The 24,399-nt window shown below is 35.4% G+C and overlaps 1 protein-coding gene across 4 annotated transcripts in view; it reads left to right on the top strand.

Annotated features, from left to right (window-relative positions):
• KIAA0825 overlaps positions 1 to 24,399 on the top strand; it is a 467,754-nt gene that overhangs the window by 341,683 nt on the left and 101,672 nt on the right. The gene's annotated exons all lie outside the window — the stretch shown is intronic.

Below are 24,399 nucleotides of genomic sequence, written 5' to 3'. Positions count from 1 at the left end.
GAGAGAGGCCAAAAGTGTGCTTAGGAAAAGAATTCTCATTTTATGGAAAGCAAGGGCTGGTTTTTCTAACTCCTCTGCAGAGAATAACCACTCCTCTGCAGAGAATAACCAATGCCTAGCCATAAGGCTGTTTGATAGCAGGCCCTCTCTATTCCTGCTATCAAAGAGCCTTTGATAAGAATTAAATTTATTTAATAATTAAATAATTAAGAATTAAATCTTAATCAATCTATTTCTTATTATCCAGCAATAATGATCATGTTGACATTTTCTAAAAACACTATGCAGACATTTCCCAAAACTAGTCCTCATCAAGCTGACAACGGTCTCACCAATTAATAATGTCTGCTTTTGGGGATTTTTTTGGTACGCCCCCATCTGATATTATAAGCGGCATAGCGATTTTAATCTAGGCTTGTCAAATCCCACACTCTTTCTGCTACACCTCTGGCTTCTTGTAATGAATGGTCTTGCATAGCTAATGTGGTCTTTTCCATATTCTATGTGAAATCACCCTACTCCACCAATTTCTCCTTTCTCAGGAAAGAAGTCTGCATTAGTTAAAAAAAGAAAACCAACCTGAGCAATTGGGAAGGACACTAGGTAAATATTAAAGAAACAGCCATAAAGCCAAATGCAACTTTAAAACAATAAATAACACAAGGCAGGATATTGAGCAATATTTGCCATGCCCGTAACCACTCACATTCTTAGTCTAATTTTCTTTCCTAGTTTATGTTCTTTCATTAGACTGTGAGTTAGACTTCTATATGTTACTACACACTTAATAAAGATATTTCACTTTTCCTGGTGTGCTTCCAGAGACCTAGCATGCAGTGAAGGTTTTATAGTCCTGTGCAGTGCAGCAGATGTCATTCCATTTGCCTAAGTCCTGCTGACATTTGGAGATGTGGATTAATTGAGCTACAGAATGAAATTTAATTAAAATTAAATACAGACTTGGCCATTGTATCTGTTCATTTCCTGCACTCTAGTATGTGTATTTGCAGGCAGCGCCATAGTTAATTTGTTTAATCAGGATGCTCTGTGGGGGAAGCTGCACTTTGTTTTACGCTGAAAGACTGAGGGTGTGGTGGATGCCAGGTTGGATTTCATTACACACAATGCGAGCTGTGTAAATGATGCTACTGATGAGCCTCAAAGGACTACCTGAGGGAGCAAGGTGGCTCCATATGAACCCATAGAGAGACAACATGTCATAGACAACATTTAGTGATGTCTTTTAAATTGACATTACATGACCACAGAAATCTTGTCTATTACCCATTAACATGTTGCCATAGTATTTGTTCACTCAAACATTCATTCATTCATTCATTCAACAAAGATTTTTTTGAGTACGAACTGTGTGCTAGGTCCTGAGTTTAAGGTAAGCACTATTATTAATTGTAACCATATTCTTTCTAGTAACTCCAATTGGAGAGGTTGCTACTTCTTTAAGATATATTTTTTAGAACAAGATAATATAGGCTATCTAAAGTTTATCTCTGGAATGAGGAGAAACTATATTACTTTATGTTTTAATGAGATTGTATCAGGGCAAGTTGCATAGATCCTACCCTTCCTTTGATATCCATTGCAAAGATCACCTCCTTCTGGGGGGCTTTCCCAATTCCTGCAGTGGAAAATGAACTCTATTCCAACAACTCTCCGAAGTACACAGAAGTTCTTTGTGTTATATCTGTATATCTAGATTATAAGCTTTTTGTCAACATCCTCTTAATCTTAAAAAATATGTAGGCTAGTGCATCATTTCCAGAATGTCCTTGAAGACTATTTCTTAGATTGAATATACTGTATTGTCAAGCATATGTGTTCCTTGGTAGTGGACCATTACTGTTTTGGCAGTCTAGCGTCATGTTTTCCTTCTGAGGCAATAGCACAGTACCTCTACTTTGACAAATCACTTCTCCCACCCCTATATACCTCAGGTAAAGGTGAGTGAGCTGGAGCCTGAGCCAATCAGTGTATTCCACCCCTCTGTTATTGGTTCAGAAATGGTCACGTGACACAAGCCAGCCTAGTCAGAACCAATACTGCTACAATCTAAGGCCTCGGTTTCTCTTCTGTTGGACATGAAAGGATGAAGCTCATGAGTTCCCTTTTTCTGCAAGGGGAGAATTGTCTGAAAATGGAGGCAACCCAAAGGAAGCTACAGTGAAGTAAAGAGAATCTTGTTACTCATCCGTTGCTGCTTTGTTATCTTAGCTAATGAGTTTTTGCTGAAGTTGGTCTGAATTGTTTTATAGAAAGGTTTTATAGATTATTAGCATGCCAGACCAATTTCTGGCTGTAGTATGCAAAAGAACCATACCTGATCAGCCTCATTATGGCGATCATTTATATGACACTTGCTATTCTGTAAGCTCCTTAAGGACAGGTACATTTCCTCTTATCTAGTGACTCAGTAATTAGCTCGGAGCCTGGAATAGTGTGTGCTCAATAATATTATTTTGTTGAAATTAAAGAATAAATGTAAATTCTGGTGGTTATATGACAATGTCAATGAATAATCTTTTTGTAGTAAAACTGCTAAAATTGACATATTGCTCACAAACCCTTTCACTACTTTTTTGTTTTGCTCTTGTTCGTATGACTAAAAGGTCACCCAGCAATTTCTAAGGGTGAAAGAGATAGTTCAACCATCTCATATTAATAACCAGCCTTATGTCAAAAACTCCCTGAAAAAGAAACTCTACAACCCCATTATGTTATGTATGCCAATGTTAACTATTCTTACCACCTAGACATTCTTCTTTATGTTCCCTGCATGATACATAGAGATTCTGAGTCCTCATAAATTCCAAAGTAAGCATTTTCTCAGTTGAGCTATATTGCTTCTAGCTATTGACTCTCAAATTGGTTCAAATCAAAGAGCACACCATGTTCTTTCTGGCACATATTTTCTATTCTGTACCAATTATACCTATTTCATATGGACAATATTCTATTAGTCCTTGGAGTTATGGCAAAATAAGCTTAATATTTTTTTCTCCTTGTATATATCTTTTGTGAATTTAATCCTGCTCTTTTTAACTCTCATTTTCCACAGACACAGTAATATTGATAAGGTTGACAACTAAAATAATAATTAACATTTGGTAAGCATTTTTTTTTAACCTCCTAACCATTACATCAGTCCTCACAATAAAATAGGAGATAACTATTCTTATCCCCATTTTCAACATAAGAAAGATGAGGAGGCAGAGATTTAAACCCCAATCACCTTTAAGAAATTCGCTGAGCTGTAGGACATAGGGAAACTTAGGAAGAATTTATGATTTTGATAGATAAACATTTTAACTATTCTATTTGGGACACTGAAACCTCCAAAAGGAGAGATGGAGTAATGGGGACAGAGGCTGAAAAATTTCTTATTGCGTACTATGCTCACTGTCTGGGTGACGGGATCAGTAAAAGCCCAAACTTCAGCACCAAACAATATACCCTTGTAGCAAACCTGCACATGTACCCTGTGAATCTAAAATAAAAATGGAAATATAAACAAATAAATAAAATATTCTATTTGTAGGATACTGTTAAGAAATGTTCCCAGTATTATATTTTCTTGATTAATATGAGCTAATATTAATAAATGCCTCTCCGTACACATATACACACATAATAGCTAACATTTTTTGAGTTCTTACTATGTGCAAGGCACTGTAGTAACAACTTCTGTATCTGTTAACTCATTTAATACTTGCAACAAATTTATGAGATAAGTACTGCTATTATCTTCATTTTACAGATGCAGAAACTGAGCAAAGAGAAGTTAAGTAACTTACTTATACAAGATCATAAGACTAGTAAATGGTAGAACCAGAACTTGAACACAAATGCCACAGCTGCAAGGCCACCCTGCTTATCCATATAGGACAATATTTAAGAAAGCAATTAATTTGCATCCTAAATTTATTGTCTGTCATCTTTCAGAGTATCTGCCCTGTGCTAGTCACTGAGCTATGTTCTGAGGATACTGAAGTAAACAAGACAGAAGGAGGCCTTTTCCTATGAATTATGTTCCATACATACACTGAGCCAATCAGTGTATTCCATCCCCCTGGCATCTGTGATTGGTTCAGAAATGGGAACATGCCCTAAGCCATGTGCAAGAAACACAAACATTTCTTTGAAATAAGCAACAAATTATATTTTAAATCTGGTAAAGTTCTAAACTGTAATAAGTTTTGCCAGATTTTTCCCAAGTCAGGAATTATTTTTTTAACCTGCTTGATCTCATTGAAGACAGATGAGTAAATTATTAGGTTGGAGAAAGGAACATAAATGTTCACACATTTTCTATGTGTTGATCACTTCTGGACATTGGTTGCTTGACAGATGTGGTCAAAAGAAATAATAAAATTTGTATTATGTCTTGTTTTTTACTTAAACTTTTTATTTTTAATTTTTGTGGGTACATAGTAGGTGTATATATTTATGGGGTACATGAGATATTTTGATACAGGCATACAGTGCATCACAGTCACATCAGGGTAAATGGGGTATCCATCACCTCAAGCATTTATCCTTTCTTTGTGTTACAAACATTCCAGTGATACTCTTTTAGTTATTTTTAAATGTGCAGTAAATTATTGTTGAGTGTAGTCACTCTGTTGTGCTATCAAATACTAGATATTTTTCATTCTATCTAACTATATTTTTGTGCCCATTAACCATCCCCATGTCCCTGTCCTCCCCCCACTACCCTTCCCAACTCCTGGTAACCATCATTTCTACTCTATCTCCATGAGTTCAATTGTCTTAGTTTTTTTTTTTTTTTTTTTTTTTTTTGCTCCTACAAATAAGTGAGAAGATGCAATGTTTGTCATTCTGTGTCTGGCTTATTTCACTTAACATAATGACCTCCAGTTCCATCCATGCTGTTGCAAATGACAGGATCTCATTTGTTTTTATAACTGAATAGTACTCCATTGTGTATATGCACCATATTTCCTTTATCCACTTGTCTGTTGATGAATACTTAGGTTGCTTCCAAATCTTGGCCATTGTGAATAATGCTGCAATAAACATGGGAGTGCAGATATCTCTTCTACATAATGATTTCCATTCTTTTCGGTATATACCTTGGAGTGGGATTGTTGGATCATAGGGTAGGTCTATTTTTAGGTTTTTTTGTTTGTTTTTGTTTTTGAGGCAGAACCTCACTCTGTTACCCAGGCTGGAGTGCAGTGGCCTGGTCTCAGCTCACTGCAACCTCTGCCTCCCAGGTTCAACGATTCTCCCGCCTCAGCCTCCCGAGTAGCTGGGATTACAAGTATGCACCACCATGCCCAGCTAATTTTTGTATTTTTAGTAGAGACAGGGTTTCACCATGTTGGCCAGGCAGGTCTCGAACTCTTGACCTCAGGTGATCCACCCACCTTGGCCTCTCAAAGTGTTAGGATTACAGGCATGAGCCACAATGCCCGGCCTCTATTCAGATCTTTTGATCATTTTTAAATGGATTATTAGACTTTTTTCCTATAGAGTTGTTTGAGCTCCTTATATATTCTGGTTAATCCCTTGTTAGATAGGTAGTTTGAAAATATTTTCTCTCATTCTGTGGGTTGTCTCTTCACTTTGTTGATTGCTTCCTTTGCTGTGCAGAAGACTTTTAACTTGATGTGATCCCATTTGTCCATTTTTTCTTTGGTTGACTGTGCTTATAGGGTATTACTCAAGAAATCTTTACCCAGTCCAATGTCCTGGAGAGTTCTTATAATGTTTTCTTTAGTTTGAGGTCTTAGATTTAAGTCTTTAGTCCATTTTGATGTGATTTGTTGTTGTTGTGCACAATGATATAATTTCAAATTATACCTTTTCAAATTGTCTAGTAAAATATATTTCATATACTTAATACTTCTATTAATACATTTTTCTAAAAAAATACATTTTTCTTCTCCAATGCAATAGATTTCCCTTCAGGTCAGTATTACCCATTAATGCAGAGTTTGGGGGAAATATTATTCCAACTTTGTGGATATAAGCCAGATTGAGACTTAATATCTTGTCAACCCATGATATCTGCACCTTTTATATTTGTGATTTCATTCTTTATGAGCAATGCCAAAACTCTATTTTCCCCTTCCTATATTGTTTTATCTCCATACATACATTTATTTACATCATTATATGTGTCTGTATTTTTCTTTCTGACTATTGAGTCATAGTAAAATGAGTTATCCTTACTTTCAGATTGTTATAAGAAATTCCCCCCTTCTCCATTGGTCTGTGATACTACCTTTCTCTTATGCTAAATCTCAATATATCAGAGTCTGCTTTTGAATTTCCCATTTTGAATGCTCCATTATGTTCCATAATGGAAACTGGTTTGTCTCTCTATTCATGTACCAATACTGCATGCACCAAAAACTATGGCCTTATAATATGTTCCAGTCTCTGTGGGTAGAATCCCTCATCGTTCTTTTTGCTCAGGAAATTCCTGAACCTTCATGTTTGTTCTTTGTATGTGGTGAGAGACAGAGGCTTAGTTTTATTCTTCTGCCTATGGATATCCAGTTTTCCCAGTAACATTTATTGAAGAGACTGTCCTTTCCCCAATGTATATCCTTAGCACTTTTATTGAAAATGAGTTCACTAGATATGTGGATTTATTTCTGGGTTCTCAATTATGTTCCATTGGTCTATGTGTCTGTCTTTATGCTGATACCATACTGTTTTGGTTACTATAGTTCTACTGTATAATTTGAAGTCAGCTAATGCAGTTCCCCAGTTTTGTTCTTTTTATTACAGCTTCAATCTCATTACTTACTATTGTTCGGTTCAGGTTTTGGATTTCTTTGTGGTTCAATCTTGGTAGGTTATATGTGTCTAGGAATTTATTTATTTCTTCTAAGTTTTTCAATTTATTGGCATGTAGTTGCTCATAGTGACCTCTAATGATCCTTTGAATTTCTGCAGTATTGGCTGTAATGTCTCCTTTTTCATTTCTGAATGTATTTATTTGGGTCTTCTTTTTTTCTTATTTAGCCAGGCTAAAGGTTTGTGTATTTTGTTTAACTTTTTTAAAAAGCAAGTTTTTGTTGATCTTTTGTATTCTTTGTTTCAATTTCATGTATTTCTGCTCTAAACTATTTCTTTTCTTCTACTAATTTGGGGTTTGGTTTGCTCTTGCTTTTCTAGCTCTTTACGATGCATCATTAGGTTATTTATTTGAAGTTTTTCTACTTTTTTGATGTAGCTGCTTATTGCTATAAACTTTCCTCTTAGTACTGTTTTCACTGTATCCCATAGGTTTTGGTATGTCGTGTTTCCATTTTCATTTGTTTCAAGAAATTTTCTAATTTCTCTCTTAATTCCTTCATTGACCCACTGGTCCCTCAGAAACATATTGTTTAATTTCCATATGTTTCTTATAGCAACAGATAGATGGATTTTTAAAAAAAATTCCATTCAGCCACTCTGTGTCTTCTGACTGGAGAATTTAGTCCATTTACATTCAATGTTATTATTGATAAGTAAAGACTTACTCCTGCCATTTGTTATTTGTTTTCTGGTTATTTTGTGGTCTTCTCTTCCTTCTTTCCATCTTCCTGTCTTCATTTGAGTGAAGTTCATTTTCTAAGGTAGTATGTTTTAATTTCTTGCTTTTTATTTTCTGTGTATCTGTTGTATGATTTTGTTTTGAGGTTACTATGAGGCTTTCAAATACTATCTTATAACCCATTATTTTAACTGATGACAACGTAATGTATTATGTCTTTACGGAGCTCTCAGTAAAGAGACTAATTTTGATTATTTAACGATGGCACCTTTAGGGGAACCATAGTCTAGTTCATCTTAACATACAATGTAAACTAGCATATTACTTTGTATGTAATAGGGACTGGATAAATATTTGCAAGATGAAAAAAATAGATGAATAAAGATAGGACGACAGTTTTTTGACAGTTTTGCTAATTTTATGCTTCCTTTATTCAACAATATTGAGCACCTATTATGCACATGACACTGTGCTGTGGAATTTGAGGGGCATATGAGCAGCTTCCAGTTTATACTGGAGATGGAAGAAGCAAGGTTGCACAAGAACAACCAGAATGCCAGGTTGAAAACATCTATTCCATAAGAGATATAAATCAAATATTAGGAGGAACTCTCAGAGAAAAAGATGCTTAGTGAGAAACTGGGTGCCATTTATCCATCAGAGTAACACATTTTTCAAGATTGGGCTCCTGATGTCTATCTGTGCAGGTGTAACTCAATAGATAGGCAGAGCATGACCAGTAATCCTTTTCTCATAGAATACATTCTAAAGATTCTCCTTTGATTTGGGGCTGCAGCTGCTAGTGGTCTCTTCATCTCATTTGGCCCACTGCCTTTGCTCAAAAAGAGCCACCGTTTCTATTTGTGGCATAGCAAACCAGTCTGTGTCTGCTGCTGTGGTTTCTCAGCAGCCAACAACTTTGCCACATTATTTTGAAATTGTAATCCAGTGCCCCCTTGAAGTATTGCTCCCGCTCCCTCCTCTTGCAGTTGCCCCACTTCACCATGCAGCAGCTGCTTGTGTATTCTGCTGCCACTATTTCCAACACCCAGCCCGCCCAGAGTTGTGTGTGACAGCTCAGCTTCAATGCTAGTAAACTGGCTACTTTCCAGTATTGTCATTCAGACTTCCAGAAAACATACCATGATAGTAATGTTCATAACTGATACTTTCTAAAGCCAATTAAAGGGAAGTCTGAGAATTGTTCTTAAAAATCTCACTTGATATTCAGAACCAGTGCAAGCTGAAGGAGGTATCTACTCTGTGAGTCCTCTTTTAATTGCAATTTTAAACGAATAATCTTGCTTCTGTTTTTTTTTCAGTCCAACACATGTTTATTGAATAAACAAATGTGGTGACTAAATCACAGAAATTAACATAAAAATTGACAGGCTACTAAGAACATATAGAAACCATTAAAGAATGATACATATTATATCCCACGTCTGTGTGGGTATTGCAGTAACACAGGCTGCATAGACTGCTTCTACTTTGCCTAATTGTGGGTCCTAATGAATGTTACCTGCAAACTTAACATATTTATCTGTCCATGAATCAAAGCTATAGGCATGCTACTTTCCCATTCTGAAATACAGAAACAAAGAGGGAAAAAAAGAGAACGTAAAAATGAAACAAGAAAATGCTCATGTAAGGAGCAAAGAGGTGCCTGGGGAGGAGGGAGGTAATTGCGGAAGTAGTCAAGAACCTGGCATACTTTGGCACAAAACAAATATTTCTGAATAAATAAATTCATAAAGGAGTGGTAATTGATATGACGAAGTCTAATAGGGAAAGTTGAGGTCTAGTAATATGAAAAGTTGTAATTTTAACCACTAACTCTCTTGGGTGTGATTAACTTACCACTGAGTGGGTCTTTCTTAATCTGGCTCAGTGATACACACGGTTTCACTCCCCATTGTCTTAAAAACTGTTAAGGTTTGAACCTTGTGCTCAAGGCTATATGCCTGATGGAAGGAAAGCAACCTGTATTTAAGGAGTTTAGGAAGACCACCAGAGGAAGTGATGCTCCAGTACAGAGTGCTCAATAAATATGTTGATTGAGTCCACTATAAATTCATAATCACAATCTCAAATAAGCCAACAATCCTGACCATCAGTCTCATTAAAATCCACTGGCTAACTCACCCACCCACATCTGCAATGATATTTTCAAACCTTCTCTATTGCTTCCTTTTGTAACTGAGCTTCGGTTGATTTGTCTCCAGTGGAACACCTCATTGCTTCCTGGAAAGGATTTAATACTTACATACTTCTCAGTGTGGTGACAAGTATGGTAATAGTCAAGCATTTGAGACAGAGTGAACAGAAAACTGAGCACCCAGTCACCTAACTAGGCTTGTATAAACAACACCTTCCTTGCTTCCTTTATATTGCTTCATGGGATTCATTAACTTACCAGATATTTATTGAACATCTACTTTAGTGGTTCTCAAATTTTTGGCCCTAAGGACTAAGGACTCTTATATATTCTTAAAAATTATTGAGGACCCCAGAGAACTTTTGTTTATGTAGGTTATTTTGATTAACATTTATCATTTTAGAAATTAAAACTGAGAAGTTTAAATGTGCTGAATTCACTTGAAAATAACAATAAACCAATTACATATTAACATAAGTTATGTTTTACTAAAAAAAAACTGTATTTCCCGAAACAAAAAATTAGTGATGAGTGGCATTACTTTACAGTTTTGCAAATCTCTTTAATGTCTGGCTTAACATAGCTGGATTATCATGTCTGCTTCTGCACTGAATCTGTTTCATATGTTGCTTTGGTTGAAGGATATGAAGAAAATATGACCTCGCACAGAAATGTAATTGGATAAAAAAGGAATATTTTTATTACCCCTTCAGATCATTGTGGATTTTTTTTAATACAGCACCAAAATTCAACAAATGGTAGTTTCTTAAAGGTTAGTTGCAATGTATTACAAAAATCTGAAATGATATCTTGTACTTTGAATTGGTCTTTTACCACAGAAGATTTATGACATCATGAGTTGTTAATTTGGAAAATATTTGCTTACTGAGTTATACAGATCTTCAAATGTTGATACATTTCATTACACAATATCACAGAAATTGTAACTGTTAATCTCACCACTGATCTCATCTGAAAAATCTTTAAATATTAAGAAGCTGTCAAAGTTTATGGTAGCAGATACAAAGTTTTCCAAAATTCTGATTTTACTTGAATGCTTGAATTTTATTATTGGCAACAAATATTGTCAGTTGTTTTCCTTGAAATGACAGTTTTACTATGTTAATTTCAGGGAAAATATCTGCCAAATACCTGTCAGTTGTTTTTTCATGTAAAAAATGGTATTCCATGACAAAAGTGGCTACTTCAGCCTTCCACTCAGTCACACAAGTACTTTTCCTCTAGACAACCATTGTACTTGGGTATGCAGTGAAATGCTTTATGTGTACTTCTCATTTTGTCACACAGAATATTAAAATGATGTATATTCAAGAATCAAGATTCAATAAAATTGATTTTGTTTTTGCTGCTTCATAAGGGCATTCCTGAGACTGGCTTTTATTTTTTAAGGTTTGTTTGTTTGTTTGCTTGTTTTGAGATGGAGTCTCGCCCTGTCACCCAGGCTGGAATGCAATGGCGCAATCTCGGCTCACTGCAACCTCCGCCTCCCGGGTTCAAGCAATTCTCCTGCCTCAGCCTCCTGAGTAGCTGGGATTACAGGCATGTGCCACCACACCTAGCTAATTTTTTTGTATTTTTACTAGAGACAGGGTTTCACCATGTTGGCCAGGCTGGTCTCAAACTCCTGACCTCAGGTGATTTGCCTGCCTCAGCCTCCCAAAGTGTTGGGATTGCAGGTGTAAGCCACCGCACCTGGCCTATTTTTTAAGTATTAATATAAGTACGTGGCAGTGAAGAATACAATGAGTACTAGTAGAGTGATCCCACTGCATTGATCCCTGCAAAGGCATCAGCGATTTTACTTACCATTGGTGCAAATTTTAACACAGTGAAAAAGGCAAACATTTTAGTAGTAGTATAAAAATTGCTTTGATTTTGTAAATGCCTGAAATGGTCTTGGGACTGACAACAGTCCACAAACCTCACTCTGAGAATCACTGACTTACTGTCTGCATAGAATAGTGCCAATGATAACATTAAACTAAAAGACAAAGCAAAACGTTATGACATAGTAACCTGCCTTCAAAAATTTATAATTAAGTTGAATGACATGAAATTGTTATTTTTGTAGGCAAGCTTGAATATTGGCAATTTCATATCGCTGAACCTATAGAATAAAATGTGTGTGTATGGACCGGGCACAGTGGCTCATACCTGTAATCCCAGCACTTTGGGAGGCCAAGGCGGGCAGATCACTTGAGGCTAGAAGTTCAAGACCAGCCTGGGCAACATGGAAAAACCCCATCTCTACTAAAAATGCAAAAATTAGCCAGGCATGGTGGTACGCGCCTGTAATCCCAGCAAGTCAGGTGGCTGAGCCATGAGAATCACTTGTACCTGGGAGGCAGAGGTTGCAGTGAGCTAAGGTCATGCCACTGCACTCCAGCCTGGGAGACAGAGCAAGACCCTGCCAAAAAAAAAAAAAAAAGTATGTGTATGTATGTGTAATGAAACATGTCATATAAACCATGTAGATCTAAGGGAATGCAAAATTAGTACACAACCTACAGAAAATGCAGAGAGTTATAAGTTGAGAGGAGACAGGTATTTAGATTTTTATACAGTTGGGAGATGGAACTCTTTCCAAGTAAGGGAAATAGTGTAAGCAAAAGTTCAGAAATTGACATGAATGCAAATAAAAGATATTTATGATGTACATGAGGCATGAAGTCCTGTTTCTGAGGCTTGAAAGATAAAGAAAAAATTATACTGGGAAAGGAACAGACAATTTGAAAGAGTTCTTTAATTGCCAGTCTGACAAAGTTAACTTCGATGCAGAAAAACAAAGCCATAGAAGGTTATCTATTCATTCATTTAACACACATGTACTAAGAGATTACCATGTACCAAACATGGTGCTAGGCACTCAAGGAATCGAAGAACTTATTGTTTAACTATTGAACTTAAAGTTTGGCCACTGAACCAACCTTGTGCTTCAATCACATAGTAGTAAAGATCCTAACCGGCTGATCAGAACACATTATTGTATGTGTGTTTAATGTGTTATCAGAATGCAGATGAAAAGTCAATCAATTCAGCTTGGGGGCAGACAGAAAAGATTGTACGTTAAGAGATGACTCATGAGATTGAATAAGAGGAATAATAGAAATTGGCCAGATAGATGTGGGAGAGGCATATTCTGGGTTGGGGACATTGCACTGGCAAGGGCACTGTGATATGGAAAAACCTGGCACAGTTTGAAAATAAAGAGTGGTTCATTATGGTGAGAAGGTAGAAGTAAAGAACAGTGTGGTTGGAGTTAAGACTGGTAACCTCAAACTAGATTCAGGTACCAATGATCCCTATATTCTGTACTTTCGTAATTCACTGAGGCTTCTTCTTATGAGGCTATCCTAGCAGATCTGAGGATGGTCCGGAGGTGGAGATGCTGCAGGCCTGGAAAACAGTAGTTACAAAAGTGGACGTATCCAAGCTGGAGATGCTGAGGACTAGAATCTCTGCAGGGCAACAGGCATAAAAAGAGAGCAATTTGGAAACATTTGGTGGAAGAATTTGTAAAAATGTGTTAAACAATAGTGCAAAAAAAAAGAGAGAGAGAGAGAGACATTGAAGAAAAAGGTCTTGGCGAAAGAGAACAAGTTTGTTTGGGGATGTGTTGAGTTTCCTGTTGGAAACTCAGAAGAAAATTCAGGACTAAAACATACACTCAGGAGTCATTCACGTACAGGTGATTGTTGAAGAAATGGGAGCAAATGATCACCAATGTAGAAAGCATATGGAGTGGAAGCAGGAGTGCCAAAACACATGAATCCTGTTCTGGCAGGTGTCAGGAGAAAATGGATCTTAAGTGGGAAAGAATGAAGTAAGAGGTCAAATGTTTCTCCAAACAGGAAATAACGAGGCCTAGGTTCAGGAGATGGGTCATGGAGGTGAAGTGAAAGGGGCACATCTGACAGACCATTTGGTAGAAAGAATCTTTGAGAACTTGGTTACCAGAATTGAAAGAAAAAAATGAGTCAGAGAACATTTGTGTTGCTACATCTAGATTTAGAAAACCAGTAGGTCTTCCTATGCTATTTTTTTTCTGGTTGGATGTCTTGGTTTTTATATTTCTTTCAAGACTTCTGAAGTACCTAGTGGTCTAGAACCTAACAAAACCACCCTGAAAGCTGGACAGTTTGGGGCAGTATGTATAGCTCAGCAATGTTTCTGTCCCAAGCTTCATAGAGGACAATGGGAACCTCTTCTAGTTTGGCTTCTGGGTGTCCATTTCTAGGGAGCATAGTAACACTAGACTGGGTCTGAAATGGAGTAGGCCTAGGGTGCGGAGGTAGAGAAGACTGTGTCTCCCTTTGAGGGGCACAAAGAAGGAAATAAATTTTCTGGGAAACTATATCTCCACTTCATACAGCCCCCCACCCCCACAGTCGTGCTTACATTCTTACCCTCACTTAGAAAGCCCTTCATCACCATTTCCATCAATGAGAGATGTGTATGTATCCTTAAATTAATAAGGGGACATAGATACACAAACATATACGTTTTTACACAAATAAGGCATATCGAACGAACTGTTGTCTTACTTTTTCTACTTGACAGTGTAACATAGTGATTTTTCCATATGACTACATGAAGATCCATCTTACTCTTTTTTAACCACTTCCTAATATTCCAGAATGATATGGGTTCCCATAAATTATTTAACTGAAACCAAACTGATGAATATTTATCTTCCATTTTTACTAAAATGTAAAAGTTATTGCATATTTGTTTATCTTTGTGTAGGTATACTAATATTTCTGGGTATATTTCTGTAAGTGTAAAAGCCTGATTAAACATAACTATTATTTAAATTTTTATATAGATAAAAATGTTTAAATTTTATCATGTATTCCAAATTTCCTTTCAAAGAGGCTATGCTAATTTATATACCCATCAATAGTATATGACAGGGCTTCTTTTCCCCACATTTTCAAACTTTTAAATCTTTCTCAATTTGATAGGTTAAAAATATCTAATTTTAATTTGTATTTCCTTTAGGAATGAAGTTAGGCATCTTTTTATATTCTTATAATCCATTTTCTTTTTATGTAAATTGGCTGCTTAATTCCTTTGCCTATATTTCTTTTAGGATTTGTAAGAATTCTTTATTGATTAGCAACATTAACTCTTTGCTATATGTATTGCAAATATTTTTGCCACTTTATGACCTATTTTATTTTATTGGGGTATTTTCTTCTGAGATTTTTTTAAAAGAAATTTATATACTCATATTTATTAGTATTTTCCTTTATCATTTTTATGAAATAGTTTGGAAGGATCTGTCCTACTGTAACATGGAGAATAGATTGAATCAGGGAAGGAAAAAATCCAACCAGGAGACTGTTTAATACTATACAGAAATGATGGGATGGTGGCTTGAATTAGGACAGTGGCAGTGGGAATAGATGGAAATGAACATGTTTGTGAAATAGGAAGTAGAACTTGGAGACTGGCTGGGTGAGAGAGGGAAGAGATATGTTCAGGGATGATACACAGGTTTCTGGTTTGGACAACAGTATAGATTGGTTCACTAAGATGGAGAGCTCCTGAGAAAGAATAAATTTGGTTTAGGGAAGAGACTAGACTATTTTATTTATTTATAATTACCCTATTAAGGCTACGTAGAACTTCATTTTAAAGGTGACCATTATCAGTTTGTTCTTGTTTTCTTATCTCTCAATCTACCAACATCTATTTTTATTTAAGGTCGGCCTTTCTCAATGCAACTGGGTGTTTTCATTCTTTTTCACAGAGAAATAATTAAGTGAAACATCTCAGGAATTTTATTTAATATTTCTTAAGGATTACAGCTGCATCCCTATGTATCCAGTCAATAACATTATGGAAAGATTACACGTTATTTTATGTATGTATGTATGTATTTATTTATTTTTAATTATTTTTTTTGAAACAGACTCTCACTCCATCACCCTGGCTCTAGAGTGCAATGGTGCAATCTTGACTCACTGCAGCCTTGACCTGTGGGGCTTAAGTTTTCCTCCCACCTCAGCCTCCCAAGTAGCTGGGACTATAGGCACGCACCACCACGCCCAGCTAATTTTAAATATTTTTGTAGAGATGGTGGTCTCACTATGTTACCCAGTCTGGTCTCGAACTCCTGGGCTCAAGCAATCCTCCCACCTCAGCCTCCAAAGTCCTGGGATTACAGGTGTGAGCCACTGCACCTGACCGAATGTTATTTTAAAACTGAATTTTGCTGTTATCAAATATTCTACCCTGTATTATTTTCAGATGAGATAAGAAAAATGGACCATGATTAAAACAAAAAATATAACATTTTAATTAACTTGAAAATGGAAGCTTAGATTTTTGGTGTTTTGATTTTATACTAAAAATGTCACCGAATTCTTGCTGTTGTTTTCCTTTGCAAAATTGCCACTTGCAACTCCTGTTACTTTAGCTGAGTGCCACATCATACCGACTTAATGCTGCTGAGTTCTCTTCACTGTAATTGAAATCATGTTAAAGGCAGATATAGTACTAATGTGAACTGCAAATACCTCTTCATTCAAGAAGAAAAATTACAATAAGCAGCAGAGACCAAATTAACTGTCTTTCTTGTTCTATATGGTATTTCTGTAAATAAGAAATATACTGATGTCGAACATATTCTGACTTCAGAAACTTATCATCTGAAATAAGAGACCTCCAGAACTAGTTTTGGAAAGACTTTTAAACCTGGACAACTCCCTGATGTTATGAAGACTGACAGTGCTTCTGAACTCTAACAAGGAGATTTTATATAAGACTGTTCTTACTGGAACCTGTTTTATGTAAGAACATACTTAAAAAGCTAATTTCTTTTCTCCTTTTTGCACTGCAATCCACAAAGTGTGACTAATAATAGATTTAAATTTGCTAAGTGCATTCACTCCTTTGTGCCATCATAAAGAGAATCTATTACTGTAAAATTGAGGCTTAGTTCCAAATTGCGCCATTATGAAGTTTTCTTCCAGCAATGTTTTGTCTCTAATACACTTCCCTCATTGTAATTCTATTGCAAACCTGATGTCTAGCATCAAGTCTCACAATAATTATTTTAAATTGCTACTAGGAACAGTAGTCCTGGTGGGATATATTACTACCATTCTAACAAGATGAATTTCAATGCACTTGTAACCATATTATAGTATATTATGAAAGGAAGAAAATCTTTGAGTTTTATATCTATGGACATGCATGTAACAGAAAAAATAATTCTTATAAACTTCAAAATACTTTATATTGAACTTCCACTTAAACTAATTATAAGTCACAAGGACAAATTAGGATATTCAGCCACATGGCCCATTAATGGCATGCTGAGTGACTTGAAGTGAATAAATAATTATAAATATAAAAATATTAGCAATGCTACTGCTTAGATTATGCATAGTAATATATTTATATGATAGATTTTTAAAGATAATATAAATTAGATTGCTGCAGGATAAAGGCACCAAAAAACTATTAAAAATGAAGCTGATGTAAAACTTTATCCTTAATTTAATCTTTCCCAAGGCTTGAGGTCATATAAATAAATGAACCACTCCAAAAAAGTATGTTGAAAAATAATTTATTGTATAATGGAAACTATAAAAAAGTCATTCTCAGGAGTCTAAAACATTGAGTCTCCAGTTTACTAATAGACTATAGAGGAAAATACTGCTAGGGATCAACAAGGAGAGCACAGGCAAGCATGTTAAGTCTCCCTGAAACTTAGGCAATTTGTTTAACAGTAGTGTTACACAATACACTGTGTGTTTCATGAGTTATTTTACATTCTTACTGAGGGCATTCTAAAATTCACCTTACTAATAAGTTGCCTACAGGCTTACAAATAAACTGGGAAGATGATCACTTTTCAATTCACTGAAAGTGTGAATCTTGAATTTGGTGCATAACAAAATTACTGTAAAGAAACAGTAGAGCCAAACTTCCCTGTTACAGATAAAATGATTATAAAATGATCTGAGATCAAAGCTATTTCAGTCTTAATAATTTAAATAAGTTGGCACACAAAATTTAGAAGAAATTCCAAGTATGAGTTCTGTAACTGCAGGAATTCTCTTAATAATGTTCATATAACACTACAAATGAAAAATCACTTAACTACCTAGCAAAATTGAAAGTTACTCCCCGGAGTGGACCAAATTGGGAAAAGTTAATCTGCATACTTTACTAAAAGGGGCAGTTGAATTTACATGAACAATTCAGCATTTTACCTTAAATAATAATTGAATGAACTACATTACATACCAACCAGCATGGAGCTACCAATGGAGTCGTGAGAGATTACCCCAAAATGGCATAGCAACCTTCTATTTATAATAAAGTGGTTCATTTTTATGCAATAACAACCATTCTGTAGCATTTACAGCATATAGAACAATCTGGAATTAGATCATCCTGTCTAGTCATTACCTTTTAGAAACTAAGAAAGTTGTCTTTTTACCATTAGGTCATCTCTAAAACTTTTGGTATTGCTTTGTAGCTTAGTTGCAATCACTTTTCAGTGATGTAGACCTGAAATCATATACTTTTGTTTCTGAAACATCAGTATTTGTTAGTAGAGTTATTTATTTTATGTGTCACTAAAATTGCATTTACTTCTATATTTATAGTTACTCCTTTATATATAAGTGTATATTATTTTAAATATACTATTGATGTTGCTGGGGGAAAAACAGAACCTAAGGCAAAAATATCCATTGTTAACAATGTTTTTGGCCATAGATCTATTCTCCAAGTGGCCAAATGCCTCCACATTATTCTATTCTATTGGCAAATGCCTTATTCTATTGGCAAATGCCTCCACAGAACTAAGCATAAGACTTCACCTCCCACTTTCAGGTTAGGGGAAAAGAAGTCCAAGTTAATAGAAAAATGATTAGAAACAGAAGGCGTCTTGACTCTCAGTTTTGTTAATGATAAAAAAATAAACTCTCCTAAACCTTTTATAAATTTCCACCAATACCCTTCCTCTTCCTCTTTTGAATTAAAAACTTTTTTGTGACATCCAAATAGAAACAGTTGTCCAGAAGAGCATATGAATTTAATGTTTCCCCAAGAGCATGACTGAAAAAAGATGCTGACCCTGTGCTTATCAATGCCTTTGAAATCATTACTGATTTTTAAAGGACAATAAAGAAAGCTGTTATTCATTTTAACATCATACACGTGCTCCATACATATTTCTTTTTATATTTAAAAATACCCACATTTGTGTGTTTGTATTTATTTAGATTCCTTAAATTTCTTGACAAGAGAATTTTGAACTAACTCCTTAAATTCTATGTTGCATACTTACTAGCAATTCATTTCATGATTGGGAATGTATTCTCCCAGCCTTTAGGTAAAATTAATTGGAAAGACTTATATAATACTGTATATTGAAGATCTTCAGAAGAAAACCATGTACCAACTAGCCAAATGCCAAAAATCTTAAGAGACTGAGAATATCACGTCCTTTTAGATTTCCTAACCTTGTATGATCGTAAGTCACTTTAGTCTCTTGTTACACTATAGATTCTCAGGGCTATTCTCTAGCAATTCTGTTTGTATAGACCTGGGATATGTAAGAATCTATAATTTTTAAAATCATCTTAGATATGTTGAGAAACCCTCTTGACTAACCTCAAATCCAATTTTTTGCATTTAAGAAATTTAGGGCAATTGGGAGTAAAATAAAGCACATTTCAATGATTTTTGGCAAGATTAACTTGCTTTTGAGAACTAAGTAAGTTGATGGCACGAATCTAAACAGAATTCATTTCTCTAACATCTGATCTTCAGTGAATGTGTTTGTATGTGTGTTTGGAGTATTTTGGTTCAAACAGGTTTTCTTTTTTAAAATATAGGTTAAGCATGGTCTGTGTCTGAAGTGATGTGTTTGATTGACAGTGAAGACAAGTAATTATCTGACATATCCTGGAAGCATGTAATGAAGAAATCATAAACCTAGAAACGACCCCAAGAGTTCTAGTCTAGCAAACTACTTCCTAGAAGGAACTACATCTAAAGTCTCTTATAGAGAGTATTTATTTTTATCTTAAATATCTGAAGGAAAGACATTTCTTTAACTGCCCCTGTTAATCTCTCCCAGTACTCCATATGGAAATATTGTAATTGGTGTAAATTTTTTAGTTGTCACATGTGTCCCTTTTTTTCTTTTTAGAAAGAAAATACAGCATTTTTTCATTTATTTGAGCATTCCACAAATTTATAAAACAACTAAATTGAACGAGATAGGTAGGTAGGTAGGTAGACAGATCTTTAATTGTCACAGAGAGATGAATATTAACTTCTTACAAGTGAACACAAGATAAAAATTTAGAGTAGTGGTTCTTACCTCTCTTTTGAAACAGGAACTCCTTTGAAGTTCTAAGAAGAGCTCTGCCTAGAAACATGTAACATACGTATCTACCTCCAGAACTTGCCAACACTTTCAGGAGGTTCATGGCCCCTGGAAGCCTCCTAGGTTGATAAGCACTAATCTGGCAGGAAGAAGCCATCCCTGAAATATTGGGTGTTCAGTACATTTCCTCATATGTTGAAGAAGGCAAATTATCATCAAAGCTCAAATAATATCAAACACGAATTTATTAATAATACTTTAAAAATCAGAAGATGAAAATTAAACTATATTGCCTATGTAATTATACTGTAAATCTGTGCAGCATAAGAGTGCTATATTTCACCTGAGAATAAGCATTACATGATTTTAATTTTTTCTAGCTTTTAACAAATAAAGTTGAGCAGTGAATTTACATTTTCTAATAACCTTGCACAGAATATTCATATACAAGAAAAGATAGTGATTATCCTAACTGCTATAGGAGTTAGTGATGAGATCAGCCCATAGAGCTCAGAAGGCTATTCTTTGAGGAACCCCAATACCAGAGATTTAATAATAGAGACATGAATAGGAAAGAGATGACTGCATTAAAATGAAAAACTTGTTGATGGTCCATCTGTGGGGAATATGCACATTATATCTTGAGTTTTCTGCTGTGTCTGCCATTTCCTTCTTGAATCACATTAGTGTTAAGACCTATTTCCCAAACAGCTCCTCATTTTACAGAGCAACCCCAATGGTCCTTGACTTCATCCTTCACTAACAAAATCAAATTCAAGCCAATTACCTGAAGGGAACAAAGCTTTACAGGTATACTTTAACTTACAAAATTACCATAATTGGCCAAGTGTGGTGGCTTACATCTGTAATCCCAATACTTTGGGAGGCTGAGGCAGGCAGATTACTTGAGCTCAGGACTTCAAGACAAGCCTAGGTAAGATAATGAGACCTCGTCTCTATAAAAAATACAAAAATTAGCTTGGCATGGTCGCTTACACCTGTACTCTTAGCTACTCAGGAGGCTGAGGTGGGAGGATCACCTGAGCCCGGGGAGGTCAAGGCTCCATGTGATCATGCCATTGCACTCCAGCCTGGGCAACAGAGTGAGACCCTGTCTCAAAAAAAAAAAAAAAAAAAAAAAAAAAAAGCCATAATTCTGAAAAGTTCTAAGTAAATCAATTTTCTCCTAAACAAGGTTACCTCAGGCATAAGAAAAGCATACAATTTAAAAATATCTTGTGACTAATAATTTTAAAAAATAAAAACCATATTTCTGCCCATCTCCCCTGCCATCATGTGGTTTTCTCTTCCACAATACTGAGCAACTAATTTTCACACAACACCGTATCTCCATTGATGGCGTGGTGCAGGGTTGCACAGAGTGACATCTCTACCTTCCATAGCTATGCCAAGCTGCCTCTCCTACACTGCTGGTTAGGCATTTTCCTCATCGAAAGCATTTTCCTTAAGTATGTCATCTCTGTAAGGCCTCTTCATGCTTGGTATCTAGGGTATGTTTTAGGCACTCTTATAAAGTTTGTTTGTATAATACATCAAACTAAAATTGCTGCAATGACACAGGCCCAATAGGAAAAATCGATGCCTTCCCAATGTCATGATGCTTATCTCTTCCCCTATTTTACCCTTTCCGTAGGGTCCACAGTCATATATTTTTCTATCCCCTTCCAATCAAATGCCATTGTCATGACTAAATATTTATTAATATCTAGTATGGATTCAAAGAGATATAAGACATGGTCCTCGTGCTTACTGTCTAGTTAGGAAGTTAGACTATGCAAAAAAAATGATTAATAACAATATGAGGTAGCACAGACTAAGTGATACATGACACTTTCTAATTTATCTGTTCAGCAAATCCAAATTTCCATACATTTATGTTGCTTAAAGAGAAATACATCTGTAATCCTTGACTCACTGTGCCTTTTCGCTAAGCTGTGTCTTCTAGCATAATGAAAAATAATGTGATAATATAGTGACATATTACTGTGTCTTCAGACTGTTTCCATAGAGGCAGAGCACTCTCATGGGTACCGCAATGGAATGAGATACAGAAGACCAGGATTCTAATCTGAGAAATACCTCTGACATTTTATGTGACCTCAGACAAGTGACTTAACCTCTCAGTTTTGAGCTTTTTCAACTGTAAAGTAAGCTTAATTAAACTTGTCAATATCATAGAGATGTTACGAAGTCTAGCTCATTAAAGCCCATTAAATGTTTTGAAGATATAAATTATTTGCTTTACAGTCATAAACAATAAGCAAAAAAATCAAAAAGTCTCATTTTAAAAACCTCATTTTTGTACAATTGTCACAAAAAATGATGCTGATGCCCTCTAGAGCCTAGTTGTAGAGGTGGATTTACACTAATCCGTCCATGCTCTCTCATTTGGTTATTTTGGTGACCAATACCACTTAAGACAGCTGGATAGGATGAGGTATCCGTCTGTGACCACAGAACAAAGTAAAGCTAACTGGCCCCTGTGGAATTGGACCAATGACGTAGGTCTCATTAGCACTATCTGCTAACCAACTGAGCTAATTGGATACTATGTTGATAATAATGTATCAAAATATGGTTTGGTTTATTTTTTTCCAAAGCTTTCCATATATTTAATTTCTATAACCATAAAAATTAGTTTGAGTAATTAGAGCCAAAGACAATAAGCTAGACATTATTAGAAGCCATTAACCTCCAAGGGAATAACTCTTGCTGTCCCCAATAGGCCTGTAGTCCTCAGCAGGCTCTTGACTGCCCTGAGAAAGTGAAGTTTCAGAATGGCAAGGCTAATAAACCCAAGGCCCTCCTGATGAGATTAGGAACGGCTCTTACGCGTCTCTTGCTCACTAAGAGTCTATTGGCAAGAATTAGAAATTGTTCTAGTCTGTGAGTCCTGTGGAGGCTAATAAAGTGACAGTGAAGATGCATTGTGCTACAGAAAACAGTCCTAAGTACTAAATAAAAAATGCCTTAACACTGAGCTCATAACTTTACCTCTTGGGATTGATGATATCTTTTGGCAGATAGCATGAAGCAAGCCTTAATGAGGAACTGATATTAGGCGGGACCATTTCAGTAATTCTTAGTTCTTTGAACTTTGAGGCAAGGTTAATGTACATGCTATTTCACGGAACCAAACAAAAATATATGATGTTGAAATATTCCCTTTCTAGAAATATGAGAGTAATAGAACCCTGCAGTGCTAACAAAGTAGCATGTAAATCTTAGGGCGTATACTTGAGATTTCAAGTAGAATGAATGGCCTATTTGGCTCAAACTAGGTAAAGTTGAATTCTGCAAAGCTAAAATACTGGAAATTAGCTCCATGATGTATTAACCCAAATAATAATGTTCCTGACGTAAAAAAAGATGGAAATTAAACATCTAGTTATGAATACTGCGTCTGCACAATGTGCTGCATGCACCGCATGTGTTAGAATTTCTTCTCAGTTCCTTTTTTAATCTTTTATTCATAGCATTGCAGGTGATGAAAAATTTATGCCTTGAGTCTGGCATTGAAATTAAATGCAAAATGAAAACAGAAGCAGTTTATACTGACAGCTTAAATATCTTTATCTAGCATACGGTTGCACTATAAAAATCACTGGGTGACTTTTTAAATCTCCCACATGTAAAAAACCAAGAGTTGTACAATAATGAATAAAGTTATATATCTAAGATATCAACAGAAAAGTTGTATTTTATTAGCATTCTTTGTTAATTTCATTTTGCTGTATTCTGTTTTTGTTTAATGGGCACAGACAGATGAATACAAGCTTTTAAAAATATTGCACAAATTAATTGTTGATACTAATTCCTCAGAGTGGTAGGAAACAATTGATTTTTACAGCATTTTTAATAAGTGTGATTTCCCATGTAGGTTTATGTCTTAAGCTGAATAGAAAACATTAATCTGTACCGAAGGTAGTTATGCTGTAGTAAAGGTTAATTATTCAGGTGAATCAGTCTGTTCATCACTATAGTAATATGAGTGATGCTTGTGAAGGATGGCAATAATTACAATAATATCCACAGTTGCTAGGTATGTAAGCATTCAAGAGTATTTCTTTCCTTAGAATAGTTGCAGGTAATTTTGTAACATTATTTTATTGGTCACAATTCTATTCATAAAATGAGGTTCCCTGTAAATGGTTCCTATTTTCTGGAAATGTTGAGTCTTTTGTCCTAGGCATATCTGTATATCCTATGCTGCATTAAAATGCTCATTGTGGCTTTTGCTGATGAACTAATGCTAAATTTCAAATAGTTAACTCATAATGTAAATTAATTGAAGAAAATAATTTCCTTTTA

This window comes from Homo sapiens, chromosome 5, assembly GCF_000001405.40.
Source record: "Homo sapiens chromosome 5, GRCh38.p14 Primary Assembly".
Lineage (NCBI taxonomy): Eukaryota > Metazoa > Chordata > Mammalia > Primates > Hominidae > Homo > Homo sapiens.
This window is presented reverse-complemented; position numbering and strand designations above follow the sequence as displayed.